The 13192-nt window shown below is 49.5% G+C and overlaps 1 protein-coding gene across 6 annotated transcripts in view, besides 4 other annotated features; it reads right to left on the bottom strand.

Moving 5' to 3' along the window:
• DHX30 (DExH-box helicase 30) overlaps positions 1-5956 on the bottom strand; it is a 47056-nt gene extending 41100 nt beyond the window's left edge. For 5 of the 6 annotated variants that reach the window (NR_075079.3, NM_001330990.2, NM_014966.4 and 2 more), the window contains exons 1-2: positions 5882-5956; positions 3674-3768 (exon numbers count right to left, since the gene is read on the bottom strand). The gene's annotated coding sequence lies outside the window, so the exon portion shown is untranslated. Of the gene's footprint in view, positions 1-3673; positions 3769-5363; positions 5637-5881 lie in introns of those variants that run through there. The other variant, XM_011533494.4, reaches the window with a different exon arrangement.
• Positions 4162-4358: a silencer, noted in NCBI's record as "fragment chr3:47846226-47846422 (GRCh37/hg19 assembly coordinates)". NCBI's record gives its function as "represses an EF-1alpha promoter that drives an FKBP-Casp9 reporter gene in an ReSE screen in phorbol 12-myristate 13-acetate-treated (for megakaryocytic differentiation) K562 erythroleukemia cells {active_cell/tissue: K562(+PMA)}" and the evidence as "EXISTENCE:reporter gene assay evidence [ECO:0000049][PMID:32094911]".
• Positions 5286-5811: an enhancer, noted in NCBI's record as "H3K27ac hESC enhancer chr3:47844773-47845298 (GRCh37/hg19 assembly coordinates)". NCBI's record gives its function as "activates a minimal SCP1, AML or CMV promoter by ChIP-STARR-seq in primed H9 embryonic stem cells {active_cell/tissue: H9 hESC(primed)}" and the evidence as "EXISTENCE:reporter gene assay evidence [ECO:0000049][PMID:30033119]".
• Positions 5286-6385: a biological region, named in NCBI's record as "H3K27ac hESC enhancer GRCh37_chr3:47844773-47845298".
• Positions 5536-6385: a silencer, noted in NCBI's record as "silent region_14317". NCBI's record gives its function as "represses an Ori minimal core promoter by ATAC-STARR-seq in GM12878 lymphoblastoid cells {active_cell/tissue: GM12878}" and the evidence as "EXISTENCE:reporter gene assay evidence [ECO:0000049][PMID:35858748]".

Raw genomic sequence — 13192 nt, 5'->3', positions numbered from 1 at the left:
CCAACATGACCCCGTCTCTACTAAAAAAATACAAAAAATTAGCCAGGCACGGTGGCAGGCGCCTGTAATCTCAGCTACTCGGGAGGCTGGGGCAGGAGAATCGCTTGAATCCGGGAAGCAGAGGTTGCAGTGAGCCGAGATCGCACCATTGCACTCCAGCCTGGGCAACAAGAGTGAGACTCTGTCTCAAAAAAAACAAAAACAAAAAACAAAACTCGGCTGGTTGCAGTGGCTCATGCCTGTAATCCCAGCACTTTGGGAGGCTGAGGTGGGCGGATCACCCTGAGGTCAGAAGTTCGAGACCAGCCTGGCCAACATGAGGAAACCTCGCCCCCAGTAAAAATACAAAAATTAGCCAGCTGTGGTGGCGCATGCCTGTAATCCCAGCTACTCAGGGGACTGAGGCAGGAGAATCGCTTGAACCCGAGAAGCGGAGGTTGCAGTGAGCCAAGATCACACCTCTGCACTCCAGCCTGGGCAACAGAGCGAGACTCCATCTCAAAAAAATAAAAATAAAAAATAAATTTAAGAAAAAAAAAAAAGAAACAATACTCTATTGCTACGAAATGGTAAACTGGCTAGGCACAGTGGTTCACACCTGTAATCCCAGCGCTTTGGGAGGCTGAGATGAGAGGAGCACTTGAGACCAGGAGTTCAAGACCAGCCTGGGCAACATAGTGAGACCGCATCTCTAAAAAAAATTTTCAGAATTAGCCAGGTGTGGTGGTACATGCTTGCAGTCTTAGCTACTCAGGAGGCTGAGGCAGGAGGATCACTTCGCCCAGGATTTTGAGGTTTACAGTGAGCTGTGATCACGCCACTGCACTCCAGTCTGGGTGACAAAGCAAGACCCTGTCTCTCTTAAAAAAAAAAAACAAAAAGTAAGGCGGGTGCAGTGGCTCATGCCTGTAATCCCAGCATTTTGGGAGGCCGAGGCAAGCAGATCACCTGAGGTCGGGAGTTTGAGACCAGCCTGACCAACATGCAGAAACCCCGTCTCTACTAAAAATACAAAATTAGCCGGACGTGGTGGTGCATGCCTGTAATCCCAACTACGTGGGAGGCTGAGGCAGGAGAATCACTTGAACCCAGGAGGTGGACGTTCCAGTGAGATGAGATTGCGCCACTGCACTGCAGGCTGGGCAACAAGAGCGAAACTCTGTCTCAAAAAAATTTAAAAAAAAAAAGCAAAATTTAATGGCTAGGTGGGGTGGCTCATGCCTGTAGTCCCAGCACTTTGGGACGCCCAGGTGAAGGATCGCTTGAGGCCAGGAGTTCAAGACCAGCCTAGGCAACACAGTGAGACCCTGCCTCTAAAAAAAAAATTTGTAAGTTAATTTGCTTGCAAATAGACTCTTGATTTTGCTTTTTTTTTTTTTTTTTTTTTTTTGAGACAGAGTCTCGCTCTGTCACCAGGTTGGAGGGCAATGGCGTAATATCAGCTTACTGCAACCTCCACCTCCCGGGTTCAAGCTATTCTCCTGTCTCAGCCTTCCAAGTAGCTGGGACTACAGGCACACGCCACCATGCACGGCTAAATTTTTTTGGATTTTTAGTAGAGATGGGCTTTCATCATGTTGGCCAGGATGGTCTCGATCTCTTGGCCTCATGATCTGCCTGCCTCGGCCTCCCAAAGTGCTGGGATTACAGGCATGAGCCACCGTGCCCGGCCAGTTTTGCTTTTTAAAAGTCCCTAAACCTCTAGCCCAATATGTCAATTTAGGCTCATGTACCATTCTTTTTCCTGTACTAATCTAAAAAAACGATACTATGAGAATCAAGACAGGATCTTTTAGAGACAGAATTTACAGAGCTCTAGAACATTTCATAGAGATCCAAAAGAAAGCGGTCTTCCTTGTAATGCAGTCAGTAATGGTGTTTTGTTTTGAGACAGAGTGTTGCTCTTGTTGCCCAGGCTGGAGTGCAATGGCATGATCTCTGCTCACTACAACCTCCACCTCCCGGATTCAAATGATTCTCCTGTCTCAGTCTCCCTAGTAGCTGGGATTACAGGCACCCGCCACCACGCCTGGCTAATTTTTGTATTTTTGGTAGAGACAGTGTTTCACCATGTTGGCCAGGCTGGACTCGAACTCCTGACCTTGTGATCCGCCCGCCTCAGCCTCCCAAAGTGCTGGGATTACAGGCATCAGCCACCACGACCGGCCATAATGCAGTAATGTTTAAAAATCTTTGTAGTGGGCCAGGCTTGGTGGCTCACGCCTGTAATCCCATCACTTTGGGAGGCTGAGGCAGGCAGATTGCCTGAGGTCAGGAGTTCGAGCCCATTCTGGCCAAGATGGTGAAATCCTGTCTCTACTAAAAATACAAAAAAAATTGGCCAGGCACGCCTGAGCGCAGTGGCTCACTCCTGTAATCCCAGCACTTTGGGAGGCCGAAGCAGGTGGATCACAAAGTCAGGAGTTCGAGACCAGCACGGCCAACATGGTAAAACCCCATCTTCACTAAAAATACAAAAAATTAGCCAGGCGTGGTGGTGCACGCCTGTAGTCCCAGCTACTCAGGAGGCTGAGACAGAAGAATCGCTTGAACCCGGGAGGCGGAGGTTGCAGTGAGCCAAGATTGCACCACTGTACTCCAGCCTGGGTGACAGAGTGAGACTCCATCTCAGAAAAAAAAAAGAAAAAAATTGGCCAGGCACGGTGGCTCACACCTGTAATCCCAGCACTTTCGGAGGCAGAGGCAGGCAGATCACAAGGTCAGGAGTTTGAGGTTAGCCTGACCAAAATGGTGAAACCCCATCTCTACTAAAAATACAAAAATAAGCCAGGCGTGGTGGTGCGCACCTGTAATCCCAGCTACTCAGGAGGCTGAGGCAGGAGAATCGCTTGAACCCAGGAGGCAGAGGTTGCAGTGAGCCAAGATCCCACCACTGCACTCCAACCTGGGCAACAGAGTGAGACTCCCATCTAAAAAAAAAAAAAAAAATACAAAAAAATTAGCCGGGCTTGGTGGCATGAGGCTGAGGCAGGGGAATTGCTTGAACTAAGGAGGTGGAGGTTGCAGTGAGCCAAGATTGCACCACTGCACTCCAGCCTGGGCGACAGGGCAAGACTGTCTCAAAAACAAAAAACCTTGTAGCTCAATGTGTCTCTTAAGTAATTTACAGATAAGTAAAATGCTATTATATCAAGATTTCCTGCATAATGAAATACAATTTAACTCCAGGTAGAGTCACTTGGGGATGGTTCCAGGACAGAGACTCCACAATGACTAAAAATGATACCCTTCTGGCTGGGCACAGTGGCTCATGCCTGTAATCCCAGCACTTTGGGAGGCTGAGGCAGGCTGATCACCTGACGTCAGGGGTTTGAGACCAGCCTGGCCAACATGGTGAAACCCAGTCTCTACTAAAAATACAAAACAATCAGCTGGGCATGGTGGCAGGCGCCTGTAATCTCAGCTACTTGGGAGGCTGAGACAGGAGAATTGCTTGAACCTGGGAGGCAGAGGTTGCAGCAAGCCAAGATCGCGCCACTGCACTCCAGCCTGGGGGACAAAGCGAGACTCTGTCTCAAAAATAAAACAAAATAAAATAAATGATATCCTTCTTCCAAAATGGTCAGAAATAGGTTTAACACATACCTCTTGTTTTACAGTACAGCTGAGCATCAGATCCACCACTGCTCTGTGCACGGCTAAATCAACTTACCTTATAAAAGCAATGACAGTCTCAGATTTTGTAGGCTTTTGAACTGGAGCTGAATTCTCTCCTTGCTATTCCTCATCACGAGGCTGGGCCTCCTCCTGAGAAGTACAACGCTGAGTCAATACAGTGGAGGCCCCATAGGGAAAGAAAGTTGCTCCAACCATCATTTACTAGCTCTAACAAGGACAAATTTTGTTAGTGGCATGAAGGGCACATACTGGACAAAATGGCCTTACAAATCAGGACTTACCATGACCCATTCTAGGCCCATTAAATTGTAAGCTGTCCTACACCAGCACCTGTAGAAGTGCTGAAGTCTTCTGACATCATCTAAGAAGATGTCAAGGTAAAGAAAGCCTTGTAAGCCTGAAAAGCATTTTCTGGAAGCCCAGAGCAAAACCTACTTCCACTTTGAGTTCTAATCCCATAATAATTATGATAATCTAACATAAAGAAGCTATAATACTCTTCAAGATTGGGAAAATAACAATAACTCAAAGTTGAATACCATTTTTACAGTTCACAACATACTTCCATAGACTTTACCCCATTTAATCCAGGCAACTATCCAGTGAGGTAGGAATTATCTTTCCAGAGAAGAAAACTGAAGCACAGGTTACACAACCTGCCCAAGATCCCATAGCTGCCTCAGGGCAGATGGAAATCAGCATTGAAGCATGCTGACTCCAAAACCCTCCATGCTTATACTAGGCTAATTTTCTTATTTCCAGGATATTATGCTGTTGCCTAAATGTACTACGGTTCATTCCTTGAGACATATTATACTGTTATCTTCAAAGGCTGAAAGGGGCAAGAAAGGTCCAACAGCTAATAAAACTTGTGTGTGGTTTTTGTTTTGTTTTGTTTTGAGAAGGAGTTTCGCTCTTGTTGCCCAGGCTGGGGTGAAATGGCGCGATCTTGGCTCACTGCAACCTCGGCCTCCTGGGTTCAAGCAATTCTCTTGCCTCAGCCTCCCAAGTAGCTAGGGTTACAGGCGCACGCCACCATGCCCGGCTAATTTTTGTATTTTTAGTAGAAACGAGGTCTAGCCATGTTGGCCAGGCTGGTCTCAAACTTCTGACCTCAGGTGATCCACCCGCCTCGGCCTCCCAAAGTGCTGGGATTACAGGCGTGAGACACCGCTCCCGGCCCTAATAAAACTTTGTATCACAGCTACATAAATTAAAACACTTGAAGAGCAACTATCTTTTAGGGATAAAGAGCCAACACCGGTAGAAAACGCAGCAAAGGATGTAGTTTCTGCACATCGCCTTAAATCTCTAAGATTTAAGTGTAAATTACAAGATGTAGTTAAAACCCACAATGACAGTGGGGTTACCACCTTGCAAGAAACTTCAAGGGAAATCACCAGACAACGTCTCATTTCACTCTGGCCCATAAGCTGCAACTAAAACCAGGTTGAAAGCCTGTAAGTGGCCTTCTGCAGTCTACCTGCTAGTGTATGGCAAACCCTCATGGAGTGGGGTTGTAAAGTGAAACAGCCTCTGCCTTGAAAAATCATAATTCAAGTGACCAATGTTGCTACACAACGACTAGATATGCCATATCCCTGGCTTAGGGTTTCTGAGGACCCCTGGGACTCCAGTTCACTGCAAACAAAGGACCCAACATGCATTTGGTCTTCCCCTGCTAAATGGGACAAGTTACCACCAGCAAACAAAGAATACCTCACCCCTTGGCCTCCCCCAGTGACAAGGTCGGTGCAAAAGGGGGCAAACTAGGGGGGCCAGAAGGCACCGGGCCTCCCTCTGGACGAACGGTCCGGGCAGCACCGGGAAGGAGGAGAAGTAGACAAAGGTCTCGGGGCACTCAGGAGGCTTCCTCCAGGCCCTGCCTGGGGAAACGGCGCATCCCGAGGCGAAGGCGTCGTTGCGCCAATGAAGCGGCCTCTCCCACGGCCTCCGCGGAGCCCCTGGCTGCGAGGCCCGCCCCGGCGGACCGGTCTGGCCCCCGCCCCCGCCCGGGCTCCATGGCAACGGCAGGCCGAGGCCTGGCTGCCCACGGATCGGCCGGGCCGGCTTCCCGGGCAGGCCTAGGATGCCCGGCCTGCTCCTCGGGCCCGCCGGCGTCTCCGCCCCACTCTCCGCCAGGCTGGCGGTCGGACCGGGCCCCCTCCTCACGACGACCACCCCCGGCCGCGGCAGGCTCCTCAAGAGGGCACGAAAGGGGAGAATAAAAAGCCCAATTCACCTGTTGTTACAGATGTGAAACAAGCCTCTGTGCACCGCGCATGAGCCGCGGCTCCCCCAACCACGGCCGGACTACAACTCCCAGCAGCGGCGGCGCGGCCCCTTCCGAGTCCCGTGGCGGAAGTCCCGCCACCGGCCCGGCGTTCCCCACCCGGCGTCACGGAGCCCGCCTGCGGCGCACGGCTCCGCTCCCCCGCGGGCCTGGAGCCCGGCCCCACCTGGGACTCGTCGTAGCCGCTCGGGGCACCCAGCGCCCGGGATGCCCCAGCACCCGGCCCAATGGGGCGCGGCGGCGGTGCAGGCGGGACTTCCGGCGGAGTCGCGAAGGGGACGGGTTGGCGCCGGCTGCTCTGGGGTCGCAGAGCGAGCGGGTTTGGGTGGCGGGGTCGGGCGTCAAGTTGCTGCCTTTCTCGGCGACTTAGCTGCCTGCAGTGTGAAAGCGGGAAGGGTCTTCTCGCCCTCTGCGAGCCACCCGCGCCTCCTGATGCGAATAAACAGCCCGGGTCATGGCTGAGCGGGGAACGGTTTCCAGCTCGGGCTCCGGGATTCCACCCGCCTTCCCCGCCACAGCTCGTAGCCACGCCTCTTCTCTTCCCCATCTCCCCTCTAATCTGTTTTTTTAGGGAGGTGAGCATTTTTGTCTTGTCTCCCCAGTTTGCAGGGAAGATGAAATCAACGTGTTGGTTCGTTGATTTCGTAAACTGTACAACGTTAGGCAAAGGACAAGGTGGCACTTGCTGGTCGCGGGGAGAGTGCCAGTCATAGTTGCTGGAAATCTGGAGGTCCGCCCGGCCACATCACCTCTTAGGAATGAGAAAGGGGATTGTCCCAATTACACGCTGTAGTCCTCTAGATAAGGTTCAAGTATAGGTTCAGTGGAATTCAGCTTCAAAAGGAAACAACGCAGTGGCGTAGCTCTGAAGCTGGGTCAGGATTTTACAGAGTATGGTTTTAAGATGTGGCCTTTAGGCCGGGCGTGGTGGCTCACGCCTGTAATCCCAGCACTTTGGGAGGCCAAGGCGGGTGGATCACCTGCGGTCAGGAGTTCAAAACCAGCCTGGCCAACATGGTGAAACCCCGTCTCAACTAAAAATGCAAAAAAATTAGCTGGGCGTGGTGGCGGGCGCATATAATCCTAGCTACTTCGGGAGGCTGAGGCAGGAGAATCACTTGAACCCGGGAGGCGGATGTTGCAGTAAGCCGAGATCGTGTCATTGAACTCCAGCCTGGGCGACAAGAATGAAACTTAAAAAAAAAAAAAAAAAAAGATGTGACCTTTGAGGCTGTATGAAGAATTAGTGCCATATCCCGTCACTTTTGTGTGCAAACAGTTCAACATGTATCTCTTTTCTTTCTCTCTACATTGGCTAGAAGACCGGGGTGTGGGGGTGGAACATCATTTATTCATTCAAATAATTAGTGCATCTGAACAGGGCATGGTGCTGTGTTGTGTGGAGAATAGAGAGATCCCTGCACGGACATCTGAGTGCTCTGTGTATCAGTTGCTAAGCTGGTGTGGAGGCTACAAAGGCCCTGCCTCAAGGGACTTAGAGCCTAGTAGAGAAGATGACAACATTGTGTGAAGGAAATGGAAAGTGGTAAATGCTGGAAAGGAGGTATTAGGTACTCCAAGAGTTCAGAGAAAGGAGTGGTTACTCCTGAATGGCAAAATGAAAGGAACGTGAACAAAGACATACGAGTGGAACAAGGGACAAATCCTAGGAATATTCAGTAGTTCAGTGTGACCACAGGGTTGGATGTGTGTGCAAGCTTTACAGGAAATAGAACTGAAAAACTGTTGGGGAGTGCCATACTAAGGAATTTTTACTTTTTTTGGTAAGACATTTAAAAAATTATTAGGAGAGTAAAATACTGCACTTTTTTGTTGTTGTTGAGACAGAGTCTCTACTCAGTCACCCAGGCTGGAGTGCAGTGGGGTGGTTGCGGCTCACTGCAACCTCTACCTCCCACGTTCAAGCGATTCTCCTGCCTCAGCCTCCCAAGTAGCTGGAATTACAGGTGTGCACTACCATGCCCAGCTCATTTTTGTATTTTTACTAGGGATGGTTTCACCATGTTGGCCAGGCTGGCCTCGAACTCTTGGCCTCAAGTGGTCCACACACTTTGGCCTCCCAAAGTGTTGGGATTACAGGCGTGAGCCACCACGCTGGGCCAATACTGTAATTTAGAAAGCTTCCTCTGGAAGTGAAAGGGTTGAATCAGCTGGGAAAATAGAAACTAGCATGCTAATTAGATCCCGAGAGAGAATGAAAGATTTAACTCAACAGTGAGAAAAGCAAGAAAGAAAAAAAAGGGGGGGTGACTGTTGAGCAGCAGACTGAGCCCAGGCCACAAGTGTGTGGAGAGATGACTTTGAGATCTGTACCATAGTGACTGAAAGGATTATGTACTATTAACATAATTAAGGGACACAAGAGTTGGAAAAGATGATGGATTCAGCTTCACTCAGATTATGTTTGCAATGTTGTTGGGAAAGTTAAGTGATAAAGTCGTGGTCCCTGCTCCAAAGAAAGTTATAGTCTGGTAGAGAGGATGAGAATAGCATGCAAATGTCTTTTTTTTGTTGTTTTTTTTTTGAGACAGGGTCTCACTCTGTCACCCAGGCTGGAGTGCAGTGGCACCATCATGGCTTATTGCAGCCTTAACCTCCCAGGCTCAATTAATCCTCCCTCCTCAGTTTCCTGAGTAGCTGGGACTACAGGCACATGCCACCACGCCCAGATAATTTTTTATTTTTTGTAGAGAAAGGGTCTCACTATGATACCCTAGGTTGACCTCAAACTCCTGGCCTCAAGCGATCCTCCCACTTCAGCCTCCCAAACTCCTGAGATTACAGGTGTGACCCACTATGCCCAGCCACAAATAAATCAAGACCTAAGGCCAGGTGTGGTGGCTCATGCCTGTAATCCCAGCACTTTGGAGGCCCAGGCAGGCGGGTCACCTGAGGTCAGGAGTTCAAGACCAGCCTGACCAACATGGAGAAACCCCATCTCTACTAAAAATACACAATTAATCGGGCATGGTGGCACATGCCTGTAATCCCAGTTACTCGGGAGGCTGAGGCAGGAGAATCACTTGAACCCAAGAGGCGGAGGTTGCAGTGAGCCAAGATCATGCCATTGCACTCAGCCTGGGCAACAAGTGCGAAACTCCATCTCAAAACAAACAAACAAACAAACAAAAAAACAAAAATTCAAGACCAAGTGGATGCACTCCAAAAGAGGCTCCTGTAGGCCAGTAGGGGGCAAAATACTTGAATAGACATCTCCCACAGGCACAGTGGCTCAAGCCTGAAATCCCAGCCCTTCAGGAGGCTGAGATGGGCAGGTCAGTTGAGCCCAGGAATTTGAGATCAGCCTGGGCAACAAGGCGAGACTCCTCTCTACAAAAATACTAAAAGTAGCTGGGTTTGGTGACATGCGCCTGTAGTCCCAGCTGCTCAGGAGGATAACATGGGAGGATCGGCCAGACGTGGTGGCTCATGCCTGTAATCCCAGCACTTTGGGAAGCCAAGGCAGGCGAATCACAAGATCAGGAGTTCGAGACCAGCCTGACCAACATGGTGAAACCCTGTCTCTACTAAAATACAAAAATTAGCCGGGCGTGGTGGCACATGCCTGTAATCCCAGCTGTTCAGGAGGCTGAGGCAGGAGAATCGCTTGAACCTGCGAGGTAGAGTTTGCAGTGAGCCGAGATCACGCCATTGCACTCTAACCTGGGCAACGGAGCGAGACTCCGTCTCAAAAAAAGAAAAAAAAAAAAGTTGGGAGGATCAATTGAATTGGGAAGATGAAGGTTGCAGTGAGCTGAGATCACACCACCGCACTCCAGAATGGGCGACAGAGTGAGACCCTGTCTCATAAAAAAAAAAAAAAGAAAAGGCCAGGCGCAGTAGCTCACACCTGTAATCTCAGCACTTTGGGAGGCCGAGGTGGGTGGATCACCTGAGGTCAGGAGTTTGAGACCAGCCTGGCCAACATGGGGAAACCCGAACTCTACTAAAAATACGAAAATAAGCCGGGCGTGGTGGCTCACGCTCGTGATCCCAGCTACTCGAGAAGCTGAGGCAGGAGAATCACTGGAACCTGGGAGGCAGAGGTTGCAGTAAGCTGATATCGCAACACTGCACTCCAGCCTGGGTGACAGAGTGAGACTACGTCTCAAAAAAAAAAAAAAAGGAAAGGAAGAAAATTTTTGCCCAGAGCAGTAGTTCATGCCTGTAATCCCAGCCTTTGGGAGGCTGAGTCCTGCAGATTGCTTGAGCCCAGGAGTTCGAGACCAGTCTGAGCAACAATGGTAAGACCCCATCTATACAAAAAATTGAAAAAATTTATCCAGGCATTGTGGTACATACCTGTAGTCTCAGCTACTCAGGAAGCTGAGGTAGGAAAATTGCCTGAGCCCAGGAGGTCGAGGCTGCAGTAAACTGTGATCCTGCCATTGCACTCCGGCCTGGGTGACAGAGCAAGACAGCCACCTTTAACTCTGTCTTTAACATGGCTGTTTTTCTGTGTGTGCAAAGAGAAGGGTCTCTGGTGACCCTTCCCCTACTTATAAAGACACAGTCCTATCTGATTGGGGGCCTGCCCTTATGTCCACATGTAACCTTAACTACCTCTCTAAAGGCCCTATTTCCAAATGCAGTCACAGTTGAGGGTTAGGGCTTCAGTATATGAATTTTGAAGGACACAATTCAGTCCGTGACATCAATTTAATGAAATAATATGCAGCAATCAAAAAGAATGAGTTAGGACAGGTGTGGTGGCTCACGCTTGGAATCCCGGCACTGGGAGGCTGAGGCGGGCGGATCACTTAAGGTCAAGAAGAGTTCGAGACCAGCCTGGCCAACGTGGTGAAACCCCATCGCTACTAAAAATATAAAAATTAGCTGGGCGTGGTGGTGGGCGCCTGTAATCCCAGCTACTTGGGAGGCTGAGGCAGGAGAATTGCTTGAACCCAGGAGGCGGAGGTTGCTACGAGCGGAGATTACGCCACTGCACTCCAACTTGGGTGACAGAGTGAGACTGTCTCAAAAAAAAAAAAAAAGAACAAGTTAGATCAAATGTACAGACATGGAAAAATTTGAAGGAAATATTGGGGTTTTTTTGTTTGGATTTTTTGAAACAGTGTCTTGCTCCATCGCCCAGACTAGAATGCAGCGGCGCGGCGCAATCATAGATCACTGCAGCCTCAAGCTCCTGGGCTAAAGTAGTCCTCCCACTTCAGTAATCAGAATAGCTAGGACTACAGGCAGGTGCCACCAAGCCTGGCTTTTTTTTTTTTTTTCTTTTTTGAGATGGAGTCTCCCTCTGTCACCCAGGCTGGAATGCAGTGGTGCGATCTCGGCTCACTGCAACTTCTGCCTCCCAGGTTCAAGTGATTCTCCTGCTTCAACCTCCTGAGTAGCTGGGATTACAGGCGCCCGCCACCATGCCTGGCTAATTTTTGTATTTTTAGTAGAGACAGGGTTTCACCATGTTGGCCAGGCTAGTCTCAAACTCCTGACCCTAACTATCTGCCCACCACGGTCTCCCAAAGTGCTGAGATTACAGGCGTGAGTCACCCACCCAGCATTTTTTTTTTCTTTTGAGAGAAGGTCTCTCTCTGTCATCCACGCTGGAATGCAGTGGTGGGATCTCAGCTCACTGCAACCTTGACCTCCTGGGCTCAAGCAGTCCTCTCACCTCAGCCTCTGGAGTAGTAGAGACTATGGGCATGCACCAGGTCTGGCTAATTTTTGTGTTTTTTGTAGAGATGGGTTTTACCATGTTGTCCTGGCTGCTCCTTTTGCTGTGATTACGGTTTTGTTTTGTTTTGTTTTGTCTCTGACCCAGGAGTCTTGTTTCTACCGGCATGGAAGAAATAGTAGCAGGCTCACTAACAGCTTGTAAGTAGGGTAAAATTCCAGACCTGCATCTACACAGTTCCTCACAGTATAATGAACACCCGTATTACCCATCACCCAGCTTCAGGGATTATCAACTGAAGGCCAACCTTGCCTTATCTATAGGTCCCCATGTCCTAATGCCCAACAGATTTTAAAAAATCATACCACTTCATCTGTAAATATAACAGGGTGCATCTCTACAAGATTCCTACTTTTTCAGCATAACCATAAAACCAATATCATACCTTCAAAAGCTAGTAAATCCTTAGTATTATTGCAAAATTCCTAACAATAGTAACAATAGATAAATTCTTTTTTTTTTCTTTTTGAGACAGAGTCTTGCTCTATCGCCCAGGCTGGAGTGCAGTGGTGTGATCTCGGCTCACTGCAAGCCCCGCCTCCCTGGTTCACGCCATTCTCCTGCCTCAGCCCCCTGAGTAGCTGGGATTACAGGCATGTGCCACCACGCCTGGCTAATTTTGTATTTTTAGTAGAGATGGGTTTCTCCATGTTGGTCAGGCTCATCTCAAACTCCCAACCTCAGGTGATCCACCTGCCTCAGCCTCCCAAAGTGCTGGGATTACAGGCAAGAGCCACCAAGCCCTGCCTTTTTTTTTTTTTTTTTTTTTAACACTCAGTCTCACTTTGTTACCCAAGCTGGAGTGCAGTGGCGCGATCTCAGCTCACTGCAACTGCCGCCTCCCAGGTTCAAGCGATTCTCCTGCCTCAGCCTCCTGAGTAGCTGGGACTACAGGCACGTGACACCACGCCCAGCTAAGTTTTGTATTTTTAGTAGAGACGAGGTTTAACTATGGTGGCCCCGCTGGTCTTTAACTCCTGACCTTAGGTGATCCACCCACCCCAAAGTGCTGGAATTACAGGCTGAGCCACCGTGCCCAGTCTTAGGAGTTTTTTTTAAATTAAATTTTATTTATTTATTTATTTATTGAGACAGCGTCTCGCTCTGTATCCCAGGTTGGAATGCAGTGGTGCGATCTTGGCCCACCACAACCTCTGCCTCCTGGGTCCCGGTTCAAACACTTCTCCTGCCTCAGCCTCCCGAGTAGCTAGGATTACGGGCGCACACCACCACGCCGGCTAACTTTTTGTATTTTTATTAGAGATGGGGTTTCACCATGTTGGTGTTGGCCAGGCTGGTCTTGAACTCCTGACCTAGTGATCCGCCCACCTCGGCCTTCTAAAGTGCTGGGATTACAGGCGTGAGGCCACTGAGCCCGGCCCAGAATTAATTTTTATTAATTTTTTTTTTTTGAGACAGGGTCTCACTCTGTCTCCCAGGCTGGAGTGCAGTGGCATGATCTTGGCTCACTGCAACCCCCGTGTCCCGAGTTCAAGCGATTCTTCTGCCTCAGCCTCCTGAGTAGCTGGGACTACAGGCGCATG

Source organism: Homo sapiens, chromosome 3 (assembly GCF_000001405.40).
Source record: "Homo sapiens chromosome 3, GRCh38.p14 Primary Assembly".
In the NCBI taxonomy this organism is placed as follows: Eukaryota; Metazoa; Chordata; class Mammalia; order Primates; family Hominidae; genus Homo; species Homo sapiens.
Note: the sequence above shows the minus strand (reverse complement) of the source record. Positions and strands in the feature narration are given on the sequence as shown.